At 48.0% G+C, this 22484-nt stretch overlaps 1 protein-coding gene across 2 annotated transcripts, besides 2 other annotated features; it reads left to right on the top strand.

Annotated features, from left to right (window-relative positions):
• The first annotated feature begins 557 nt into the window (after window positions 1-557).
• NDUFAB1 (NADH:ubiquinone oxidoreductase subunit AB1) lies at window positions 558-15860 on the top strand. 2 transcript variants are annotated; one of them, XM_011545856.3, is made up of 6 exons: window positions 558-786; window positions 5724-5781; window positions 9555-9677; window positions 11451-11538; window positions 14499-14598; window positions 15701-15860. In XM_011545856.3, exons 1-5 carry the CDS (start codon window positions 584-586, stop codon window positions 14588-14590), a joined length of 564 nt encoding a protein of 187 aa, XP_011544158.2. In that variant the 5' UTR covers window positions 558-583; the 3' UTR covers window positions 14591-14598; window positions 15701-15860. The 2 variants fall into 2 exon arrangements, with proteins under 2 accessions (XP_011544158.2, NP_004994.1); NM_005003.3 differs by lacking the exon at window positions 5724-5781 and having other exon boundaries at window positions 558-751.
• Window positions 811-900: a silencer, noted in NCBI's record as "silent region_7281". NCBI's record gives its function as "represses an Ori minimal core promoter by ATAC-STARR-seq in GM12878 lymphoblastoid cells {active_cell/tissue: GM12878}" and the evidence as "EXISTENCE:reporter gene assay evidence [ECO:0000049][PMID:35858748]".
• Window positions 2646-2822: a silencer, noted in NCBI's record as "fragment chr16:23605373-23605549 (GRCh37/hg19 assembly coordinates)". NCBI's record gives its function as "represses an EF-1alpha promoter that drives an FKBP-Casp9 reporter gene in an ReSE screen in HepG2 liver carcinoma cells {active_cell/tissue: HepG2}" and the evidence as "EXISTENCE:reporter gene assay evidence [ECO:0000049][PMID:32094911]".
• Window positions 15861-22484: the final 6624 nt, after the last annotated feature.

Below are 22484 nucleotides of genomic sequence, written 5' to 3'. Positions count from 1 at the left end.
ATGTATATTGTTTTAATCGTAATTCTCACATTTATTAGTCTTAGGTATTGAAATTGATTATTTTTTCACATTATTATATATATTTTTTTACCTATTCAATAAATGTTAATACTTGTGGAAGAATTGTGGAATCAAAACTTTGTCCTTTTTTTCTTTTAATCTTTTTTGTAATAGAGACGGAGTCTTGCCGTGTTGGCCAGGTTGGTCTTGAACTCCTGAGCTCAAACAGTCCTGCCACCTTGGCCTCCCAAAGTGCTAGGATTAAAGGCGTCAGCCACCGCACCCGGCCCCAAACGTTTAAACAGATGTATTTCAGAACTTTCAGATAAAAAATGAAAGTAGGTTTCTCGTGCCGTGTCGTTTAGGGAAAGACGGCGACGTCTGCACAGTTTAGTTGTGACACCAAGCAGTTGTTCGTCCCCGAACCTGGATGGGCTCCGAGGGCGCAGTGCCTCCAGGAGCCGCCAGGGGCCGCCACCGCCGGCGGTGCCCGACAGCGCTGCCGTGTGCGTCGCCTGCGCGCCGCCGGAAAGGAACCCTGGTCCGGAGGCGGCGGCGCAGTGCATCCTGGGTTGGCGTAGCCATGGCGTCTCGTGTCCTTTCAGCCTATGTCAGCCGCCTGCCCGCGGCCTTTGCGCCGCTGCCCCGGGTCCGGATGCTGGCCGTGGCCCGGCCTCTCAGCACCGCTCTCTGCTCCGCGGGGACCCAGACGAGGCTCGGGACTTTGCAGCCGGCCTTAGTGCTCGCGCAGGTGACTCGTGGTGACTTTGCTGCCGCTTGGCAAGGGTCAGGGATTGGGCCCGGTGGGGGTGGGGGCCGGGCATCCGGGGCGCGCCAGCTGCAGGCAGGGGTGACCCGGGGGGCAGCCGGCTCGCTCCGCAGCCCCGCTGCCTAAAGGTGTTTAGTTGACCCCTGACGGGAGGCCGGGTGACCTCGTAATAACGAGCAAGAGCACTGACTCGAGTCCAGCACTGCTGGGCTGCCGCTTACCGAAACTTTGGACAAGTCTCCTAGCCTGGCTCACACTCACCTGCAAAATTGGGATCCTGGTCTCTACCTTGCGGAGTAGCAATGAGGATTAGATGAGTTAATGCGGCTAGAGCACCTCGTACGGTCTCAAAATAGCGGTCACCGTATTGTAGTGAAAGCAGCATGCAAAGAGGCAGCCACACTGGCCTACAGCCTTCTCCAGAGCGGTTTTCTCTCTGCAGTTCTGTCCTTACTCTTCCCTGCAGCACCTTCTGCCTGTGTCCAGGACTCCTGGAAGTAATTCTAGGAAACAAGCCAAGTGACCTTTGACCAATAAGGATTTGAATTGCGCGGGTCCACTTATATGCGGATTTTTTTTCAACCAAACGCGACCAGTATTTACGGGATGTGCCGCCCCGCGTATAAGGAGGGCAGGCTCTTCCTATAAGCGGATTCTGCAAGGCTGACTGCGGGACGTGAGTGTGCGGGGATTTGGGTATAGTCGGGGGTCCTGGAACCAATCTGCGCAAATACCAAGGAACGACTGTACCTGTAGTATATAGCTTGAGCTGATGAAATCTGCGTGAGGCTGAAACGCCGGGAGGCAGTGATTTCGGTGTTGTTGTTGTTGTTTTTGAGACAGAGTCTCGCTCTGTCACCCAGGCTGTAATGCAGTGGCGTGATCTCAGCTCACTGCAACCTCCGGCTAACGGCAACCTCCGCCTCTCAGGTTCAAGCAATTCTCCTCCCTCAGCCCCCCCGAGTATTTGGGACTACAGGCGCCCGCCACCATGCCCGGCTAAGTTTTGTATTTTTAGTGGAGACGGGGTTTCATCATATTGGCCAGGTTGGTCTTGAACTCCCGACCTCGCAATCCACCCGCCTCGGCCTCCCAAAGTGCTGGGATTACAGGCGTGAACCACCGCGCCCTGCCTTTTTTTTGTTGTTTTCTAAGTTCTCCAGATGACTCTGAAGTGCAGTTGGGAATAAAAATAACCGTCTTAAGGTAGGATAGACTCCCAAGGTCAAGTTATGAAACCCCTTTTCAAAGTCATAGACTTCAGGTAATAGTGGTTTCAACCTTGACTGCATGTTAGTGTGAAAAATAAGTGTGTCTGGCCAGGCGTGGTGGCTCACGCCTGTAATCCCAGCACTTTGGGAGGCCGAGGCGGGCGAATCGCTTGAGCCCAGGAGTTTGAGACCCTCCTAGGCAACATGGTGGAACCCCGTCTCTACAAAAAATACAGAAATTAGGCCGGGCGCGGTGGCTTATGCCTGTAATCCCAGCACTTTGGGATGCCGAGGCGGGCGGATCACGAGGTCAGGCGATCGAGACCATTCTGGCTAACACAGTGAAACCCCGTCTCTACTAAACATACAAAAAATTATCCGGGCGTGGTGGCACGCGCCTGTAGTCCCAGCTACTCAGGAGGCTGAGGTGGGAGGATCGATTGAACCCAGGAGGCAGAGGTTTTAGGGAGCTGAGATGATGCCACTGCACTCCAGTCTGGGAGGCAGACCGTCTTAAATAAGCCAGCCAGCCCGTGCCAGATCGACAGAATCTAGAAGTGAGTACTAGGCGACTATTTTTAGAAGTCATCAAGTGTTTCTTTTGTGAAGCCAGTGTTGCTGTTCACTGACAGTGTAATGGATTCATTCATTGGGCACTGCCCTGTTGGCTGTATCAAAAGGTGAAAAGTGTCACCTTGAAATTAAGGGTTAAAGGCCAGGCGCGATGGCTCACGCCTGTAATCCCAGCAGTTTGGGAGGCCGAGACGGGCGGATCACGAGGTCAGGAGATGGAGACCATCCTGGCTAACACGGTGAAACCCCGTCTCTACTAAAAATACAAAATAATTAGCCGGGCGTGGTGGCGGGCGCCTGTAGTCCCAGCTACTCGGGAGGCTGAGGCAGGAGAATGGCATGAACCCGGGAGGCAGAGCTTTCAGTGAGCCGAGATCGTGCCACTGCACTCCAGCCTGGGCGACAGAGCCAGACTCCATCTCAATAAATAAATAAATAAATAAATAAATAAATAAATAAATAAATAAATAAGGGTTAAAAAGGCAGTAGTTAGAATTGATGAGTGTCTGGTTCCTAAGATTGATTTCAACATTGGGCTAAAATGTGAAGTGACTGTCTTTGTTCTTACAGCATTGATTCTCAGTTGATTGGACATACAGATCACTTAGGCTGGAATACAGATTCTGATTCAGTTCTGGGAAGGGGCCAGAGAGTTTCCACCTCCAGTGGGCTTCCAGAAGATCCTGCTGCGGGTGTTCCTTGGACCATGCTTTGAATGGCAAGGAGCTCAGAAATGTTCCACTATGGCGGCTTGGCTTGCATATATAGCAGAGGAACCATTTTATTTATATTTACAAAGTGGTTTTGACTAAGTTCATTCAAAGATATTGAGGGCCAGCTGTGTGCCAGGACTCATGCTAGCTGTTGAGAGATACAGAGATGGATACAAAAGGAAGACATTAGCTTACATCTTCATTGAACGCTTTGCAGCCCTTATGTCCAACTTGCTGGCTCCTTCTCTGCTGCTGTCTTCTTCCCTAGGCTGTTGTGACACTGTTCTCCCTTGGTTGGTTTGTCCTCCTACCTTGTTGGGACACTTTGCCTTTCAGGCTGGAGTGCAGTGGCATGATCGTGGCTCACTGCAGCCTTGACCTCCTGGACTCAAATGGTCCTCCTGCCTCAGCTTCCTGAGTAGCTGGGACTACAGGCATGAGCCACCACCCCTAATTTTTTGATGTCTGTCTTCTTTTTAGAGACGGAATCTCCTTATGTTGCCTAGGCTAGTTGTGAACTCTTGGGCTCAAGCAATCCTCCTGCCTCAGCCTCCCAAGTGCTGGGATTACAGGCATGAGCCATCACACCTGGTGTGCCTAACCCTTAAATGTTGGTGGGCTCCCGAGTTCTCTTACCACACATGCTCCCTGGACTCTTCACTCCTGGTTTCTGTTATTGCTGTATATCCCAGACCTCCGCCTCCAGTCCTTGTTCATCTCATTTGGACCATTGCTCATGCTACCTATTCCCTGCTGTGAAATTTCCTCTCCTCAAATCCATCCACTATGCCAACTTCAGAGCAACTAGTCACTCATTTACACCCTTTTTCCCAAAAGGAGCTAAGGCAGTTTTCCTGGGTATAAAAATACCAGATGATATAAAATAGAAGGTAAGGAAAAAACAAAAAAACAAAAACCAAGGGCAATGGCCTAAAATGCAGCCTGGAAGTCTTATACTTGATCCAGGTAGGCCCCGAATCTACACTGTCTAGCAGATGGAGCACAAAGATAATTTCCAGCAGTTCTATGGGGCATGGTACGCAGATGAAGACAGCACTTGTACAAAAAAAAGCTAGCTATTCCAGGACTGGGACCAGGACCAGACAAAGTCCCAGTCCCTTCCCATGGCCCTTAAGGCTCTGCAGACCTGGGCCCTCCCTCTTAGCCTCCAAGCCTGTCATCTGTGTACCATCTCCCAACATGAGCTGATGTCTTCTCACATAGACACAGGCACTGCACTTTCATGACTTTTTTTTTTTTTTTTTTTCCAGACAAGGTCTCTGTCACTTAGGCTGGAGTGCAGTGGCATGATCATATATCAGTGCAGCTTCAAACTCCTGGGCTCAAGCAATCCTTCTGCCTCAGTCCCTTGACTAGCTGGGATAACTGGCCTGCGCTACCACGCCTGACCTCATTTCGTTTTCTTGACCTGTTCTTCCCTCTCCTTGAATTATCAGTCTCAGCTCTTTTCCTCACCAAATCCAAGTCTGGCATCCTCCTTTCCGGCCACTCAAGGACTGAGTGACAACTTTTGTTATTGCATCAGCCTACAGATACTTCTGTCATGGTGCTTGCCATATTTTTATTTCAACTAAAATGATCTGTGGATTGGTCTTTTCCATTAGAGTGTAAGCTTCTTTTGGGGGAAGGTTGTGTCTTATTCATCTTTGCATTTCCAGCCCATTGCACAGTTCTTGGCACACAGGTAAAGTTCCCAGGCTTCTGAGACAGTCGTGTAAATAAAGGCAAGGCATTGTGAAACAGGTGTGTGTAGTGCAAAAGCAAAAAGAGATACTTGACCAATCTCTCAGTGAACGTGATCTTGAAGGCCTGTGCAGAGGCCAGGAAGAGCCTGGCACTTACCTCCTTGTGGTTGACTCTTAGGGTGTCTGGAAGGGAACATTGTTGGGGGGAAGAGAGTGAGCATATCATGAAGGGAGCTGTATGCTGCAGCGAGGAATTGTGGGTATTCTCTGCAAAGGTCATAGGGAGTGAACATGAAACAGGGCTTATTGAAGGAATAAGCCCCAGGTGGCGGAGAAGGAACAGAGGTCTGTAAGCAGGAGTTTTGGAGACAGGTCAGGAGTTCATTTCCAAACTGTTGAGTTTGAGAGGTCTGGGCTGCCTGTGTAGAGTGGACCAGTCGGCAGTTTGTAGAGACGGCCTTTAAAGCCCTCTCCTTAGCCTCCTCTGAGTTTGCCTCAGGCAGAAGTGAGCCCCAGTGGAGTACCGGGATTCTGATGGAACCTCATCTGTTTGAATTACTAGCCCAGAGGGTCATCACTCTTTACCTGCAAACAGTACCTTCTCTGATGTCTGGGAGAGGTGGTTTATTTCCCATATACTTGTTAAGTGTAGATCTTGGGGAAGAACAACTAACACCAGAAACATCACATGTTGGCTGTTGGGGAGGTGCTTGTCCATTTTGTATCCCTTTTATTTTTTCCCAATCAACAGAGATCCAGTTAGAAGGAGCAGCAAGACCTTCCAGGAGGCCATGCTGGAAGGACATGGGGTGAGGAGGATACCTAACCTTCCCTTGCCTCAGTTTCTCATCTGTAAAAAGGAGGGTGATAGTATCATGGATCTCACCAGAATACTGGAGAGCTGAAGAAAGATGATGTGTGTAAAGTGCAATATCATAGCCTGAGCTGATAAGAAATTAATGGAGGCCGGGACGTGGTGGCTTATGCATGTAATCCCAGCACTTTGAGAGGCTGAGGTGAGTGGATCACTTGAGACCAGGAGTTCAGGACCAGCCTGGCCAACATGGTAAAACCTCATCTCCACTAAAAATACAGAAATTAGCCAGGCATGGTGGTGCACGCCTGTAATCCCAGCTACTTGGGAGGCAGAGGCATAAGAATCACTTGAACCTGGGAGGCAGAAGTTGTGGTGAGCCAAGGTCACAACACTGCACTCCAGCCTGGGCAACACAGTGAGACTCTGTCTGAAAAAAAAAAAAAAAAGAGACCAGAGGCAGGAGCATGAGAGGGTAGTAGGATCAAGTATTTTGGGGCTACGCTACAGCCAAGGTATCAAACTAGCTGCTGCTGGTCATTGTTCTCAGGATCCTACTAAATAACCCTAAATAGCACTTACTGTGTTAAGTGCCAGCCAATGTCCAAGCCTTTACTTCATCTCACTGATGCTTCACAACAGTCCTGTGAGTGTGGTACTGTTGTTTATCCCCATTTTACAGATGAGGAAACTGAGATGTAGAAGGTTAAGTAACCCACCCAAGGCCAAACAACTAGTGAGAGCCAGCACCATGGTGCAGGCATAGGTGGTCTAGTTTCAGCGTCTGAGCTCTTGCCCACTAACTTACTGCCTCACGCTGATCCTGATGCAGCACCCACTCTAGATTGGCATGTGGCCTCCAGTCAGAGACTCGTTTAATTTAATCACATGGTGCCCACCTGGCCCTTGTAGGTACTTGCTGGAGCTGCTGAGGACAATGCTGACAACCTAGTTGGCCTCATGGGTAGTTGTGTACGAACATAGAATATACCCTCACCAGGGGTCTTGCTTTGTTGCCCAGGTTGGTCTGGAACTCCTGGGCTCAAGCGATCCTTCCACTTTGGCCTCCCAAAGTGTTGGGATTACAGGCGTGAGCCACCACACCTGGCATCGTACCATTTCTTTTTTTTTTTTTTTTTTTTTTTCTTTTTGGAGACAGAGTCTCACCCTGCCGCCCAGGCTGGAGTGTAGAGCCATGATCTCAGTTCACTGCAACCTCTGCCTCCTAGGTTCAAGTGATCCTCCCACTTCAGCCTCCTGATTAGCTGGGATTATAGGCACACGCCACGATGCCCGGCTAATTTTTGGACTTTCAGTAGAGATGGAGGTTTCACTGTGTTGGGCAGGCTGGTCTTAAACTCCTGACCTCAAGAGATCCGCCCACCTTGGCCTCCCAAAGTGCTGGGATTACAGGCGTGAGCCACCACACCTGGCCTCGTACCATTTCTTGATAAGCACACAGCCTCTGTTAGATCCCTCCAACTGAAATTTCTTTTCTGCCATTGCCATATTACCTCATTTCTTCTCCCCCTTTCTCTTTATTCCTTTCTTCTCCATTTTATTTGTGACTTGGAAACCTATTTGAGTCATTGTTAAGTAGGCCGGTCATGTGCCTGTATAAAAGGTCTCCTTAACCCATGTATAATACGAAAGGAGACTAGACATTTAGACAAAGAAACATGCTCTAAAACTCTTGAAAGTACTCAGAAAGGCTCGTTAGAATATCTATCATACTCTCCAACTCATCTCTTTAGTTTGCTGATTAAACCTGATTTTTTTTTTTTTTTTCTTGAGACGGAATCTCACTCTGTCACCCATGCTGGAGTGTAAATGGCATGATCTTGGCTCACTGCAACCTCCGACTCCCAAGTTCAAGCGATTCTTCTGCTTCAGCCTCCTGAGTAGATGGGATTACAGGCACATGTTACCACGCCCAGCTAACTTATATTTTTGGTAGAGACGGGGTTTCTCCATGTTGGTCAGGCTAGTGTCGAACTCCTGACCTCGTGATCCGCCTGCTTCGGCTTCCCAAAGTGTGGCAATTACAGGTGTGAGCCACTGCGCCCAGCCTAAACCTGATTTTAATAACTGACTTCTTTTTCTTTTCTTTTTTGAGACAGAGTCTCGCTCTGTGGCCCAAGGTGGAGTGCAGTGGCACAGTCTCGGCTCACTGCAACCTCTGTCTGGGTTCAAGCAATTCTCATGCCTCAGCTACCTGAATAGCTGGGATTACAGGCACACACCACCACGCCCAGCTAATTTTTGTATTTTTAGTAGAGACGAGGCTTCACCATGTTGGCCAGGCTGGTCTCGAACTCCTGGCCTCAAGTGATTGGCTCACCTCGGCCTCCCAAAGTGCTGGGATTACAGGTGTGAGACACACATCGGCCCAATACCTGTTCTTTATGCAAGATGAATGTTTCTTCTACAGAGGTTATACTGGTTTGGTTCTCTGGGCAGTATTTATTATGATTTTTCATGGACCTTTGTGAGTTTCAGGGACCTGAGCCCTAACAAGCAGCCCCACTTTCTATAGGGAAATGCCTGAAGAACGCCAAGCCTCGGACTTAAAATCAACTTCAGGAGGTAAACAAACCAATTTAGATTAGGGATTTCTTTCTTTTTCTTTTTTTTGAGACGGAGTCTTGCTTTGTCGCCCAGGCTGGAATGCAATGGCGCAGGCTCGGCTCACTGCAACCTCTCCTCCCACATTCAAGCGATTCTCCTTCCTCAGTCTCCTGAGTAGCTGGGATTACAGGCGCCCACCACCACGCCTGGCTAATTTTTGTATTTTTAGTAGAGACGGGGTTTCACCATGTTGGCCAGGCTGGTCTCGAACTCCTGACCTCAGGTGATCTGCTCACCGTGGCCTCCCAAAGTGTTGTGATTATAGGCGTGAGCCACCACGACTAGCCAGATTAGGGATTTCAGTAGTGAGCAAAACTGCCAGATACCCTGTTTTGTTTTCTCTGATTCTGCGTCGTACCTTCCACAGCATTAAACCCCCTGACCTGTAATTGCAGCTCATTCCACATTTGTTGAATGAAATCTGGTCAATACCCTAATACCTAAACATTGAGCCGACTAATACCAGAGATACGTGAGGTATTGCTCTAACATGGCACAGGCCAGAAGGGCTCATGGTTTGGCTGGTGGCCATGAGGCAAGCCTCGCTGGAAGGGAAACAGATTGGAATGTAGTGACTGTAAGCTCCCTCATCCCCTCTTTGGGTGGGAGGCCAGCTTCCTTTGTCCTGGCTGAGATCAGGGAGATAACTGCTGGAACCAAACTAGACCTTTCTGGTGTATGGTCCTCAATTTGAATTGCCTTTGGGTTTACCATGACAGCTCTTTCCTTTTGGGTTATTTTGACTTGGGTCAGCCTATTAAAGGTGGCAGCACCCTGTAGAGGCCTCGGGATGCTGAAGATGCCATGAGAAGACACAGGCATTCTGCAGACGCTAGACAATTTTAGTGGCAGTTAGTGTCGCAGAGCAGTATGAATGTCCAGAGCCTGAGGGTTGAAGCCAGGAGGCAGAGGGGCCGGTCCTGACTCCCAGGAAGGAGGCCTGAGATGCTGCTGAACTGTTGGGGCTTCTGCGATTACCCAGTCCTGCAACTTAGTGTGTCCTGGTGGCCACAATGAGAATCAGATGCTGTGGGTTCTCTAAAGCCCCGAAAGTTCTGTGAAAGTTACCTATAGGCTTGTGCATTGATTTAGAGGTATTTTCCATTCAATGACAGTGTTTCCTTCCTGCCGTCGCTCTAGGTTCCTGGTAGAGTTACACAGTTGTGCCGCCAGTATAGCGACATGCCTCCTTTGACGTTAGAGGGCATCCAGGACCGTGTTCTTTACGTATTGAAACTCTATGACAAGATTGACCCAGAGAAGGTAACTGATGGTGGTTTGAATTTTTTTCTTTAAATATAGAGTATTTAATTACATGCTAGAAAATGCAAAGGGAAAGATACTCAGTAAAAATCTCCCTGGCTCCCAGACACCCAGGCCCATTCTGGGAGATAGCCAGCGCTACCAGTTTCATGTATGTTTCCAAAGGTACTCAATGCATATGTTAAAGAAGTATACACACGTGTGTATATTATATGTATGTATCTCTCACCCTTTTTAAAAAACACAACTGGCCGGGCACTGTGGCTCATGCCTGTAATCCCAGCACTTTGGGAGGCCGAGGCGGGCGGATCACCTGAGGTCGGGAATTCAAGACCAGCCTGACTAACATGTAGAAACTTCATCTCTACTAAAAATACAAAATTAGCCGGGCATGGTGGCACATACCTGTAATCCCAGCTACTCGGGAGGCTGAGGCAGCAGAATCACTTGAACCCGGGAGGTGGAGGTTGCAGTGAGCCGAGATAGCGTGATTGCAGTCCAGCCTAGGCAACAAGAGTGAAACTCCATCTCAAAAATAATAATAAATAATAAAAACACAAGTGGGGCCGGGCGTGGTAGCTCACGCCTGTAATCCCAGCACTTTGGGAGGCCGAGGCGAGTGGATCATGAGGTCAGGAAATGAAGAGCAGCCTGGCCAAGATGGTGAAACCCCATCTCTACTAAAAATACACAAATTAGACAGGCGTGGTGGCAGACACCTGTAATCCCAGCCACTCGGGAGGATGAGGCAGAGAATTGCTTGAACCCGGGAGGGAGAGGGTGCAGTGAGCCGAGATCATGCCACTGCACACTGCAGCCTGGATGACAGGGTGAAACTCCATCTAACAACGAAAAAAAATTGAATCTGTTGTGTAGGTAAGGCAGTTTTTTTTTTGATTTGGGTTTTTGAAGAATCATTCCTGGTGATCCTGAGGTCTAAATTAGAGTGATAGGGTGATAGTAAACACTTTGGCCAGGCGCAGTGGCTCACGCCTGTAATCCCAGCACTTTGGGAGGCCAAGGTGGGTGGATCACGAGGTCAGGGGTTCGAGACCAGCCTGACTAACATGGTGAAACCCCGTCTCTACTAAAAATACAAAAATTAGCTGGGCGTGGTGGTGCACGCCTATAATCCCAGCTACTCGGGAGTCTGAGGGGTGAGAATTGCTTGAACCCGGGAGGCCGAGTTTGCAGTGAGCCGAGATCGTGCCATTGCACTCCAGCCTGGGTGACAGAGCAAGACTTTCTCAAAAAACCAAAAAACAGACAACATTAGAGTGAAATCCTTCATTAGCTATGTATATATTGTTCACTTCAAAACAGAGTAAGATAAAGCAAACCATGTACATACTAGCATAGGTTACATATAAAATGTCAGTTATAGCCTCTGTATGTTAAAAAAAATTCGATGTAGTCACAAGGACAGAAAACCAAACACTGTGTGTTCTCGCTCATAGGTGGGAACTGAACAATGAGGTCACTTGGACAGAGGGTGGGGAGCATCATTTACCAGGGCCTGTCAAGGGGTAGGGGGTTTGGGGAGGGACAGCATTAGGAGAAATACCTAATGTAAATGATGAGTTGATGGGTGCAGCAAACCAACATGGCACATGTATACCTATGTAACAAACCTGCACGTTGTGCACATGTACCCTAAAACTTAAAGTATAATAAATTCAATATAGTGATTAAGTGGCATTGTACCACCCTGTTATCTTGGGAAGCAGATGCTTTCATGGACTAAATTTTGTGTTTGGTGCTCCTTTCTTGCAGCTTTCAGTAAATTCTCATTTTATGAAAGACCTGGGCTTAGACAGTTTGGACCAAGTGGAGATTATCATGGCCATGGAAGACGAATTTGGTAAGGCTCAGTCTTCTATCTACACACTGCGATTTTTGATTAAGGTGGATTAAACTGAAAGAAGTGGTGGGCGTCTGAATTGGAATTAGAATTAAATATTAATAGAAACAGTAGCATCCACTGCCCTTCACACACACCTTCCTGCCCACTTACCATCAGGTGAAGTAAGCTTTAGGGATGGTACATTTATTCAGAGAGCACCTTGCACAAGCCCAGCAGAGTGCCCAGTGTGGTGCCAAGAGCCGAATGACCAGAGATGGTTCCAGGGGACTGATTCTTCAGACAGGGTTCTAAGACAAAGGGCAAAAGCCTCCCCGGAACACATGCTGATGACATGTCAGCCCCTCCTGAGCTCGGGTAACGCGAACCAGGTAGAAGTAATGTGTGCCAGGACAAGAGACGCACCCAGAGCCTCTGGCCTTGGTCTCCTATCCTGGCTCACAAGCACACTCCAAGTTTGGGACTGTGTGTTGGGCAGGTGAGACCTTTATAAGGTTCCATGGCTGTTTCTGCGTGAGTTGGCTGAATAGGAAATCAAAGGACTTCTGTGCTGTTCTGCAGAGCAGGGCCTAGTTAAAATTCCTCACAGATGATGCTGACTAGGATGGAATCCCTTTGCCTAGTGCTTAAGAGTACCAGGTCTGGAATTGAGCTTAGTCAGGTATGAGCCTGGACAAGTAACTGTATCTCTCAAAGCCTGTTTCCTCAGCTGTAAAGTGGGGGTGATAATAGTAGGAACCCCAGGATTGGAATTGCTGTGAGAATTAGAGATGATGTGTAAAATGCTCAGCACAGTGTTTGGGCCAAAGTAAGCTAACTACCAAAACCCAGCCATTTATAAAAACCCAACCATCATAAAAAAAAAAATGCATGGGTGACGTGTGTTACAGCACACGAACCTTGAGAACGTGCCGAGTGAAAGAAGCCAGACACAGAAGATGACACGTTATATACCATTTACATGAAATGTCAAGAAGAGGCAAATCCAGAGATAGAAAGTACACGGGTGGTTGCCAGAGCTAGGGAGGATGGGGAGTGACTGCTGACGGGCACTGGGTTTCTTTTTTTTTTTTTTTTTTTAATTGATCATTCTTGGGTGTTTCTCGCAGAGGGGGATTTGGCAGGGTCATAGGACAATAGTGGAGGGAAGGTCAGCAGGTAAACAAGTGAACAAAGGTCTCTGGTTTTCCTAGGCAGAGGACCCTGGGGCCTTCCGCAGTGTTTGTGTCCCTGGGTACTTGAGATTAGGGAGTGGTGATGACTCTTAACAAGCATGCTGCCTTCAAGTATCTGTTTAACAAAGCACATCTTGCACCACCCTTAATCCATTTAACCCTGAGTGGACACAGCACATGTTTCAGAGAGCACCGGGTTGGGGGTAAGGTCATAGATCAACAGCATCCCAAGGCAGAAGAATTTTTCTTAGTACAGAACAAAATGGAGTCTCCTATGTCTACTTCTTTCTACACAGACACAGCAACAATCTGATTTCTCTATCTTTTCCCCACATTTCCCCCTTTTCTATTCGAAACAACCGCCATCGTCATCATGGCCCGTTCTCAATGAGCTGTTGGGTACACCTCCCTGACGGGGCGGCTGCCGGGCGGAGACGCTCCTCACTTCCCAGACGGGGCGGCTGCCGGGCAGAGGGGCTCCTCACTTCTCAGACGGGGCGGCTGCCGGGCGGAGGGGCTCCTCACTTCTCAGACGGGGCGGCTGCCGGGCGGAGGGGCTCCTCACTTCTCAGAGGGGGCAGCCGGGCAGAGACGCTCCTCACCTCCCAGATGGGGTCGCGGCCGGGCAGAGGCGCTCCTCACATCCCAGACGGGGCAGTGGGGCAGAGGCGCTCCCCACATCTCAGACGATGGGTGGCCGGGCAGAGACGCTCCTCACTTCCTAGACGGGATGGTGGCCGGGAAGAGGCGCTCCTCACTTCCCAGACTGGGCAGCCGGGCAGAGGCGCTCCCCACATCTCAGACGATGGGTGGCCGGGCAGAGACGCTCCTCACTTCCTAGACAGGATGGCGGCCGGGAAGGGGCGCTCCTCACTTCCCAGACTGGGCAGCCGGGCAGAGGGGCTCCTCACATCCCAGACGATGGGCGGCCAGGCAGAGGCTGCAATCTCGGCACTTTGGGAGGCCAAGGCAGGCAGCTGGGAGGTGGAGGTTGTAGCTAGCCGAGATCACGCCACTGCACTCCAGCCTGGGCAACATTGTGCACTGAGTGAACGAGACTCCATCTGCAATCCCGGCACCTCGGGAGGCCGAGGCTGGCAGATCACTCGCGGTTAGGAGCTGGAGACCAGCCCAGCCAACACAGCGAAACCCTGTCTCCACCAAAAAAATACGAAAACCAGTCAGGCGTGGCGGCGCGTGCCTGCAATCGCAGGCACTGGGCAGGCCGAGGCAGGAGAATCAGGCAGGGAGGTTGCAGTGAGCAGAGATGGCGGCAGTACAGTCCAGCTTCGGCTCGGCATCAGAGGGAGACCATGGAAAGAGAGGGAGAGGGAGAGGGAGAGGGAGACCGTGGGAAGAGGGAGAGGGAGAGGGAGACCTTGGGGAGAGGGAGAGGGAGAGGGAGACCGTGGGAAGAGGGAGAGGGAGAGGGAGACCGTGGGGAGAGGGAGAGGGAGCTGGGTTTCTTTTACACAATGGTGATGGTTGCACAATGTGAATATACTAAAAACTACCAAATTATATGGTATATACAAGGAGGAATTTTCTATTATGTGAATTCTATCTCAACAAACAAACAAACAAACAAACAAACATACCTCCAAAGCATCGTACCCAACCTGTATGCATACTGTCTAGAAGCTAACTGGCCCACAACCTATATGGGATTCAAGGTTGCTGAAAGTTTTGATATACTTGTAGCTGTTGTAGAAGGGTCAGGTGTGTTCAGTTCTAAAGGATTTTTTTTTTTTAACTCTCTCACATTGTTGTATATTTTTCTTTTAGGGTTTGAAATTCCTGATATAGATGCTGAAAAGTTAATGTGTCCACAAGAAATTGTAGATTACATTGCAGATAAGAAGGATGTATATGAATAAAGTATCAGGTAAATAGACTTAAAAAATGATGTTCACCCATAGATTTGTCTGTGGTTCTTCAATAAAGGAAACTTAAGAAGAAACAGAAAATGGAAATGCTTGACCAAGATTTTTCACTACTTATAAAATGCAAGCCCTTTCCTGTTGTCTGCCACTCAAAGGGGCCCAGCCCTGGTGGTGATCTTTGAGAGGTTGAGAACTGTCATTCCTGGATAGAACTCCCTTGATTGTCAGCTGTCCTCACAAAAGCAGAACATTGTACAAAGTACTGAACAGGGTAACCTGGAAACAGACCTCTGTCTCCCTCAATTACTCAGCCAAGGTAAGCCCAGCCTGCTGGGTAAGACACTGAAGTGACCTGGCTCTTAAGTAGGCAAGAGAGGCCTCATGTATAAGAGGATGGACTTTGGAGTCAGAGACACCCAAGTTTATTCTCAGCTTTGCCACACACTATAAGCCTGGTGGTCTCAGGCAGGCTGCTTAGCTCTGTAAGCCTCAGTTTCCTCATATGTAATATGGTGGTAATGATAGGACCTACCTGGGGCTTTTGTGAAAGCAAAATTGAAGAGAGTATATATATCACTTGATATAATGATGTAAAGAAGCCTCTCAGTAAATAGTAGCTTTTGTTACTTGGGACCTAGAATAATCAAATAAGACTTTTTGAATTAAAACATTGTATTAGTGTTTTTAGTCTTTAGCTTTTAGTGACCCTGCATTTTTTTTTTTTTTTTTTTAAAGATGGAACCTTGCTCTGTTGCCCAGGCTGGAGTGTAGTGGCACAATCTCGGCTCACTGCAACCTCCGCCTCCTGGGTTCAAGCAATTCTCCGGCCTCAGCCTCCTGAGTAACTGGGATTACAGGCGTGCACCTCCACGCCCAGCTAATTTTTATATTTTTAGTAGAGATGGGGTTTCACCATGTTGGCCAGGCTGGTCTCGAACTCCTGACCTCAGGTGATCCGCCCAGCTTGGCCTCCCAAAGTGCTGAGATTACGGGCATGAGCCACTGCACTCAGCCAGAGGCTGCATTTTTAGCACCTGAAAGATGTCACTTATCATTAGTAAGAATACATCAAAAATAACATTGAACTTATTTTGTCTTTTCCAGACCCTTTGGCTTTGCTGAGAGAGGACTCAGATGATAGTGACGAATGTCTGGCAGTGAGGACACATTTTGGCATTCTTGCTGACTCTGACAGAGTGATTCTGATGGACTTGTATTTAAATTGTATGTGTTTTACTCTTTGAAAATAAATCTATAAAACCAACATTTTCCCCCATCTTCAGTTTTTCAATGATGTCTATAAAGTGCTTTTTTATGTTTGTATACTGACATTGCTTAATATTTTTAAAGGTCTGATTTGTCATTTGTATTCATGCATGTCAAAAACAATGGCTTCCCCAGCCATGTACTTGAAGTAAGGCTGTCTCCCCACCTTCGTATCAGGAGTGAATATATTCATGGAAATGGACTTTTTGCTTCAAAAAAAACTTTGTTTTGGTTTCCATTAGCTTATTATCAGATGTGTCAGCTGATATCAGCAGGTGGGACTAGTTTTTCATCACTGTCCTAAAGATCCCTTTTAATACAGTTTAACAGTTTTGGAGAATGGGAGGCTCTCTTTCCTCCTGGAAGGTCAGTTTGACATTGCCACACATCAAACCACAGTTTGATTTGTCACACATCATTATTGGTTCTGCCCCTTTTACTCTTAGCACTGTGTTGGTTCCTTGGGGTTGATGTAAATAACATGTATGCATTGCTTAGCTCTTGAAGAGTTTAGTTTGAGAGTTACATCAAAATAATTCCTCTCCTTTTACTGACTTTCTAGTATGGGGAAGGAAGAGGAACCAAAGGCCTACAGTAAGTAGTGTCTTTGAGGCAGAGGGACTAAGGTGAGGGGCCCTCAGCCAGCAGAGAATCTCATGGCTGAGAGATGAGGTGGTCGAAGGATGGGAGTCAGCTCTGGGATTGGGTCCACACTCACATCTGCTTCCCTTCCTGCAGGTACCAATACGCTGGTTCCTTCTGGGTTGCTCTAGAGTTATTCCAGGCATGTTAGGCAGACATAGTCCTTTTTTTTTTTTTTTTTTTTTTAACTTTTATTTAGGTTCAGGGGTACATGTACATGTTTGTTATATAGGTAAATTATGTGTCATGGGGTTTGGTGTGCAGATTATTTCATCACCCAGGTAATAAGCATAATACCCCATGGGTTTTTTTATTTGAGAAGGAGTTTCGCTCTTGTCGCCCAGACTGGAGTGCAGTGGCACAATCTTGGCTCACTGCAACCTCCGTCTCCCAGGTTCAAGCGATTCTCCTGCCTCAGCCTCCCAAGTAGCTGACGTTATACCCGCCACCATGCACCCGCCACCACCTGGCTAATGTTTTGTATTTTTAGTTGAGACGGGGTTTCACCATGTTGGCCAGCCTGGTATTGAACTCCTGACCTTAGGTGATCCGCCCACCTCCGCCTCCCAAAGTGCTGGGATTACAGATGTGAGCCACTGTGCCCAGTCCCTGATGGGTGTTTTTTGGAGCCTCACCCTCCACCCTCCAGTAGGCCCCAGTGCCTGTTGTTCCCTTCTGTCCATGTTTACTCAATGTTTAGCTCCCACTTAAAGTGAGAACGTGGTATTTGGTTTTCTGATCCTGTGATAGTTCACTTAGGATACTGGTTCCAGCTGCATCCATGTTACCATAAAGGACATGATCTCATTTTTTATGGCTGCATAGTATTCCATGGAGAGTGTGTGTGGTGTGTGTGTGTGTGTGTGTGTGTATACACACTTTCTTTTTTTTTTTTTTTCAGACAGTCTCACTCTGTCGCCCAGGCTGGAGTGGTATGGTGCTATCTTGGCTAACTACAACCTCTGCTTCCCCAGTTCACGTGATTCTCCTGCCTCGGCCTCCTGAATAGCTGGGATTACAGGCATCCGCCACCATGCCCGGATACTTTGTATTTTTATTAGAGATGGGGTTTCACCATGTTGGCCAGATTGGTTTCGAACTCCTGACCTCAAATGATCCGCCCGCCTTGGCCTCCCAGAGTGCTAGGACTACAGGCGAGAGCCACTGCACCCAGCCTACACATTTTCTTTACCCAGTCTGCAGTTGATGGGCATTTAGGTTGATTCCATGTCTTTGTTATTGTGAATAGTGTTGCAGTGAACACAGGCATGTGTGTGTCTTTATGGTAGAATGATTTATATTCCTTTATGTATATCCAGTAATGGGATTGCTGGGTCGAATGCAAACCTCGTTTTCTTTGAGTTCTTTGAGACATTCACTGTCACCCAGTCTGAGTGCAGTGACACGACTGTGGCTCACCGCAGCCTCAACCTCCCAGGCTCAGGCCATCCTCCTGCCTCAGCCTCCCAAGTAGGCACACCACTGCTAATTTTTTAAGTTATTTATAGAGATGGGGTCTCACTGTGTTACCCCGGCTGGTCTCGAACTCCTGGGCTCAAAAGATGCTCCCGCCTCCACTTCCCAAAGTGCTGGAATTACAGGCATGAGGCACTGCACCTGGCCCCTTTTTAGCAATAGAAAGCATATCCTCAGTTATGAAAATCATACATTGTTACACTAGACCTTTTTTATTTTTTTGCAATATTTAGCAACATATCTTGGAAAACTGCCAAATTGGAGGATAAGGCTCTTCCTCATTGTTTTTTTACAACTGCATTTATTTAACAATAGCTTGAGCACTTACTAAGCACTGGTGATCAAATAGGGAGTAAACAGGCTGTGTGTTATTCCTTTGATTGGAACGTCTAGTAGTTTAACACTGGGGGTATTTTGGTGGTAGTCCCCAAGTTGTTCTGGCTATTTTAAATCCCATGGCAGCTGTACATTTTACCAAAAAAAAGCGTCTGTGATTGTGTCTGCCTAAGATCACAAAGTCTGACTGTACTGCCACTTGAGTGCCTGCTTTGCTACTATCTTCACCAGACGCCTGCAGTGAAACAGCCCATTCACATCATCCAGTAGCTGGTGTAAGCCCCAAAGAAGCCAGAATGAGGGAAGACATTTACTGGATCTCACACACACACATCATTCATCCCCAAGGCCATTTAGGGTCTGGTTGTTCAAGCAATAGCAAAGGCCTTTCTGTTCTTTCTGCTCTAAGAGCTTATCAGAATGTTCTTTTGAGAGACTTCTGTGCCACTATAGGTAGGCAGCAAACTGGCCAAATGTAGCATTCCAAAGTGTGTGTGAATTCAAGAACAGGATAAATGGAATTGTATGCATATGGTATTTAATAGCTGCTGAAAACACCTCAGAGGATCTGTGCCTCTGTTGTACACCGTTCCCACTGGGAAAGGGCGGTTTGTGAAGCCTGTCATGACCCAGTCCCAGTCCTGTCTCCAGCCATCCCCACCATATCTCCAGTGGAGCTGCTTCAGTCTTCTCACTGTGTTCTCCATACAGCAAGTTCACTCACTCGCTCCACACACAAGGAAGTACCCACTGTGTGTTAAGCACTCCTGGAGCCTGAGTACACAGTTTCACACCATATAGTTTGTCTCCCATCTCCAGGAGCTCACCACCTTGTAAGGGAGGTAGGTACAACCTAGGTGGAGGTATCATACTCAGCATCACCAATGATACAACAAGTCAACCTCCTATGCTGCTCCTGATGTGAGGCACTGAGGTCATGTCACCTCTGAGGCACTCTTGCTAAAATCATCTAACCTGAATCTGATTATGAGGAAACAAATCCAGAAGGTGGGAGTTTATAAGGCCTGGACTTTAAAAAGTGTCATGAGAGGCCCGGCATGGTGGCTCATGCCTGTTCTGTTAATCCTAGCACTTTGATTTGAGGCCAGGAGTTTGAGACCAGCCTGGGCAATATCGTGAGACCCTGTCTCTTCAAAAATATTAAAAATTAGCTGAGTGTGGTGTCACCTGCCTGTAGTAGCAGTTAGTCCCAGATGTGGAGATTGGGATAAAGAGAGATGGATGGGCAAGAGATTCTGGGAATAAAATGGCAGAACCTGGGAGGATCACTTGAGCCAGGGAATTAGAGGCTACGGTGAGCTATGACTGCACCATGGCACTCCAGCCTGGGCAACAGAGGGAGACTCTGTCTCTAAAAAAGAATTGAAAAATAAATAGGCGGGGTGCAGTGGCTCACACCTGAAATCCCAGCACTTTGGGAGGCTGAGGTGGGTGGATCACCTGAAGTCAGGAGTCCGAGACCAGCCTGGCCAACATGGCGAAACCTCGTCTCTACTAAAAATACAAACATTAGCCAGGCATGGTGGCAGGTGCACGTAATCCCAACTACTTGGGAGGCTGAGGCAGGAGAATCGCCTGAACCCGGGAGGCAGAGGTTGCAGTGAGCCGAGATCATGCCACTGCATTCCAGCCCGGGCAACAGAAACTCCATCTCAAAATAAATAAAATAAAACAAATAAATGGCAGAATCTGATCAGTTGTGTCTAAGCTATCTCCCAACATACCAGTACTGGGTGAGTTGCGGTCTAAAGCAGGTACCAGAGGATTGGATTTGATGCATTGAATTTGAGGTGTTTGTAGGATACCTGAGCAGGCAACAGATAATGAGCAACAGTTCAAGAAAAATGTCAGGCTTGGAGTCTGAGCGCTGGTGAGGTGCTTCCCCAGTGCCGGCTCCCTCCTGCTAAGTTCCCATTGAGGAGTCCCCTCACCCCACTCTAGGAAGTGGCTTAAGTGGGAATGATTGGCCCTCTGCCCCTGGGATGCGCACTTAAGTACTTGAGCGTAATGTGAATTCTTCTTCAGGGATGATTTGGTGCTGGGGTTGAGAAGCTAGGAGAACTGAGTGAAAGACTTACCTATCACCTGAAATTCTTTATCAAGTGCATGTGTTACTGTTTTAATTTTTAAAGTGGTAGCCAACTAATAAATAAAGCCAATTAAACAAATGTAACTGACAAATTAACTTTATTAATATGCAAAGCTAATTAATAAAGCCAACAAACAAATGCCAAGGTTCAAAGTTTAAAAAAGCAACTCACACACCCAACTTAGTGCCCTGAAGACACACAGCAAAACCAAGGAAAGAAAAAAATTTGAAAGCAAAATAAAGCAGCTGGGTTCTTTCCTAACTTCTCAAGTACCAGGCCAGTATCTAAGAGCACAGACTTTAGCATCAGGCAAAGCTGGGCTCTGAATTGTAGCTTCACTCGGTAACAGGCATGTGATGTTGGCTAAGCCATCTAACTTCTCTGAACCTAAGATTTCCTCTAGTGGCTGAAGTGAGGGTCACAGGAGGGATGTGGTGCAGTGTTGACTGTATAATGCAAGTAACATCCTTCACACTGTTAAGACATAAGGAAGAAGCTGATGTCACAGGACCTGAATGCAGAGTGTTTAGAGCAAGTACGTAGTGGAAGAGCGCCCAAAGGTGATGTCCATTCTTCCCTCCAGGGCTGGAGGCCTAGAGAAACAGCATTTGCCTGGCACACAGCAAGAGGTCAAAACACCCTGCTAGGTGGTCTCTTTTTTTTTTTGAGATGGAGTTTCACTCTTGTTGCCCAGGCTGGAGTGCAATGGCACGATCTTAGCTCACTGCAACCTCCACCTCCCAGGTTCTAGTGATCCTCCTGCGTCAGCCTCCCTAGTAGCTGGAATTACAGGCATGCGCCACCACGCCTAATTTTGTATTTTTAGTAGACATGGGGTTTCTCCATGTTGGTCAAGCTGGTCTCGAACTCCCGACCTTAGGTATCTGCCCGCCTCAGCCTCCCAAGTGTTGGCATTACAGGCATGAGCCATCACACTCAGCCTAGAAGTACCAGATAGCAGATTCTCCAGATGGGCATCAGCCAACGTATAGCATGGGATACAATCCCAATGATCCCCCTCTCCCATGTAGGAGTCAGATCCCTAAGCATCCAGCCGTATTGTTTCAGGATTATGAGGTACTGTGAAAAAGTGAAGAGCTGACCCCCTCCGCCTGCTAGGAAGAAGTGAGACCAGCAGGGACAAACTCCATCACTCTTCATATACCAAGGATTCTGTTTTAGTCCCCTGCCTTTTTTTTTGGCGGGGGGGACAGGATCTCACTCTGCCACCCAGGCTGGAGTGCAGTGGCACAACCTCAGCTCACTGCAGCTTCTGCCTCTGGGGTTCAGGCGATTCTTGTGCCTCAGCCTCCCAAGCAGCTGGGACTACAGGCACCTGACACCACATCTGGCTAATTTTTATATTTTCTAGTAGAGGCAGGGTTTCACCATGTTGGCCAGTCTGGTCTCGAACTCCTGACCTCAGGTGATCCATCCACCTCAGCCTCCCAAAGTGCTAGGATTACAGGCGTGAGCCACCGTGCCTGGCCGATATCTGTATTTTTTGTAGAGATGGGGCTCTTGCTATGTTGCCCAGGCTGGTCTCAAACTCCTGGGCTCAAGTGATCCTCCCACCTTGGTTTCCAAAGTGCTGGGATTACCGGTGTGAGCCAGTGAGCCTGGCCCATTTTTTGGTAACAGATTTTCTTCCTCCCGACTCCTGGGTCTTTATAGCTTGTGGCTAAATCTGTAGCTCCAATCTCAGTGTTTTCTAAAACATGTCCTCAAAGGCTAAATGGCTAGGTGGGGTTGCCCAAGGCACTAGTCAGGAGGTGTGAGTACAGGGAGGCAGCTTCTCTTCCAACATGTGGAAGCCAGGGCCCACCAAGGAGCAGACCATGCTGCTCCAACAGGAGTGTGGCTCACTGTCACACCGGTCACTTTCACCATTTTGCAGAGTAAATGTCAACTGTTTCAGCAGAGAATACATTTGAATATACTTAAAGCCAAATAAGACCACAACTGGCAAAGAAATGGCTCCAGGTCCAATTCCAAATGTTGGTTAATCCCCAGTATGGATTAGGCGCATGAAGAATTGGAAGGAAAAAGAGACGCAA

This window comes from Homo sapiens, chromosome 16, assembly GCF_000001405.40.
Source record: "Homo sapiens chromosome 16, GRCh38.p14 Primary Assembly".
NCBI lineage: Eukaryota > Metazoa > Chordata > Mammalia > Primates > Hominidae > Homo > Homo sapiens.
Note: the sequence above shows the minus strand (reverse complement) of the source record. Positions and strands in the feature narration are given on the sequence as shown.

Excerpts from the sequence above, each read along its gene's own strand:
- NDUFAB1 (XM_011545856.3), top strand. The coding sequence starts at position 584 with ATGGCGTCTCGTGTCCTTTCAGCCTATGTCAGCCGCCTGCCCGCGGCC. Across the intron at positions 9,678-11,450 it reads ACAAGATTGACCCAGAGAAG|CTTTCAGTAAATTCTCATTT; the intron begins GTAACTGATGGT and ends CCTTTCTTGCAG. Across the intron at positions 11,539-14,498 it reads GGCCATGGAAGACGAATTTG|GGTTTGAAATTCCTGATATA; the intron begins GTAAGGCTCAGT and ends TTTTTCTTTTAG.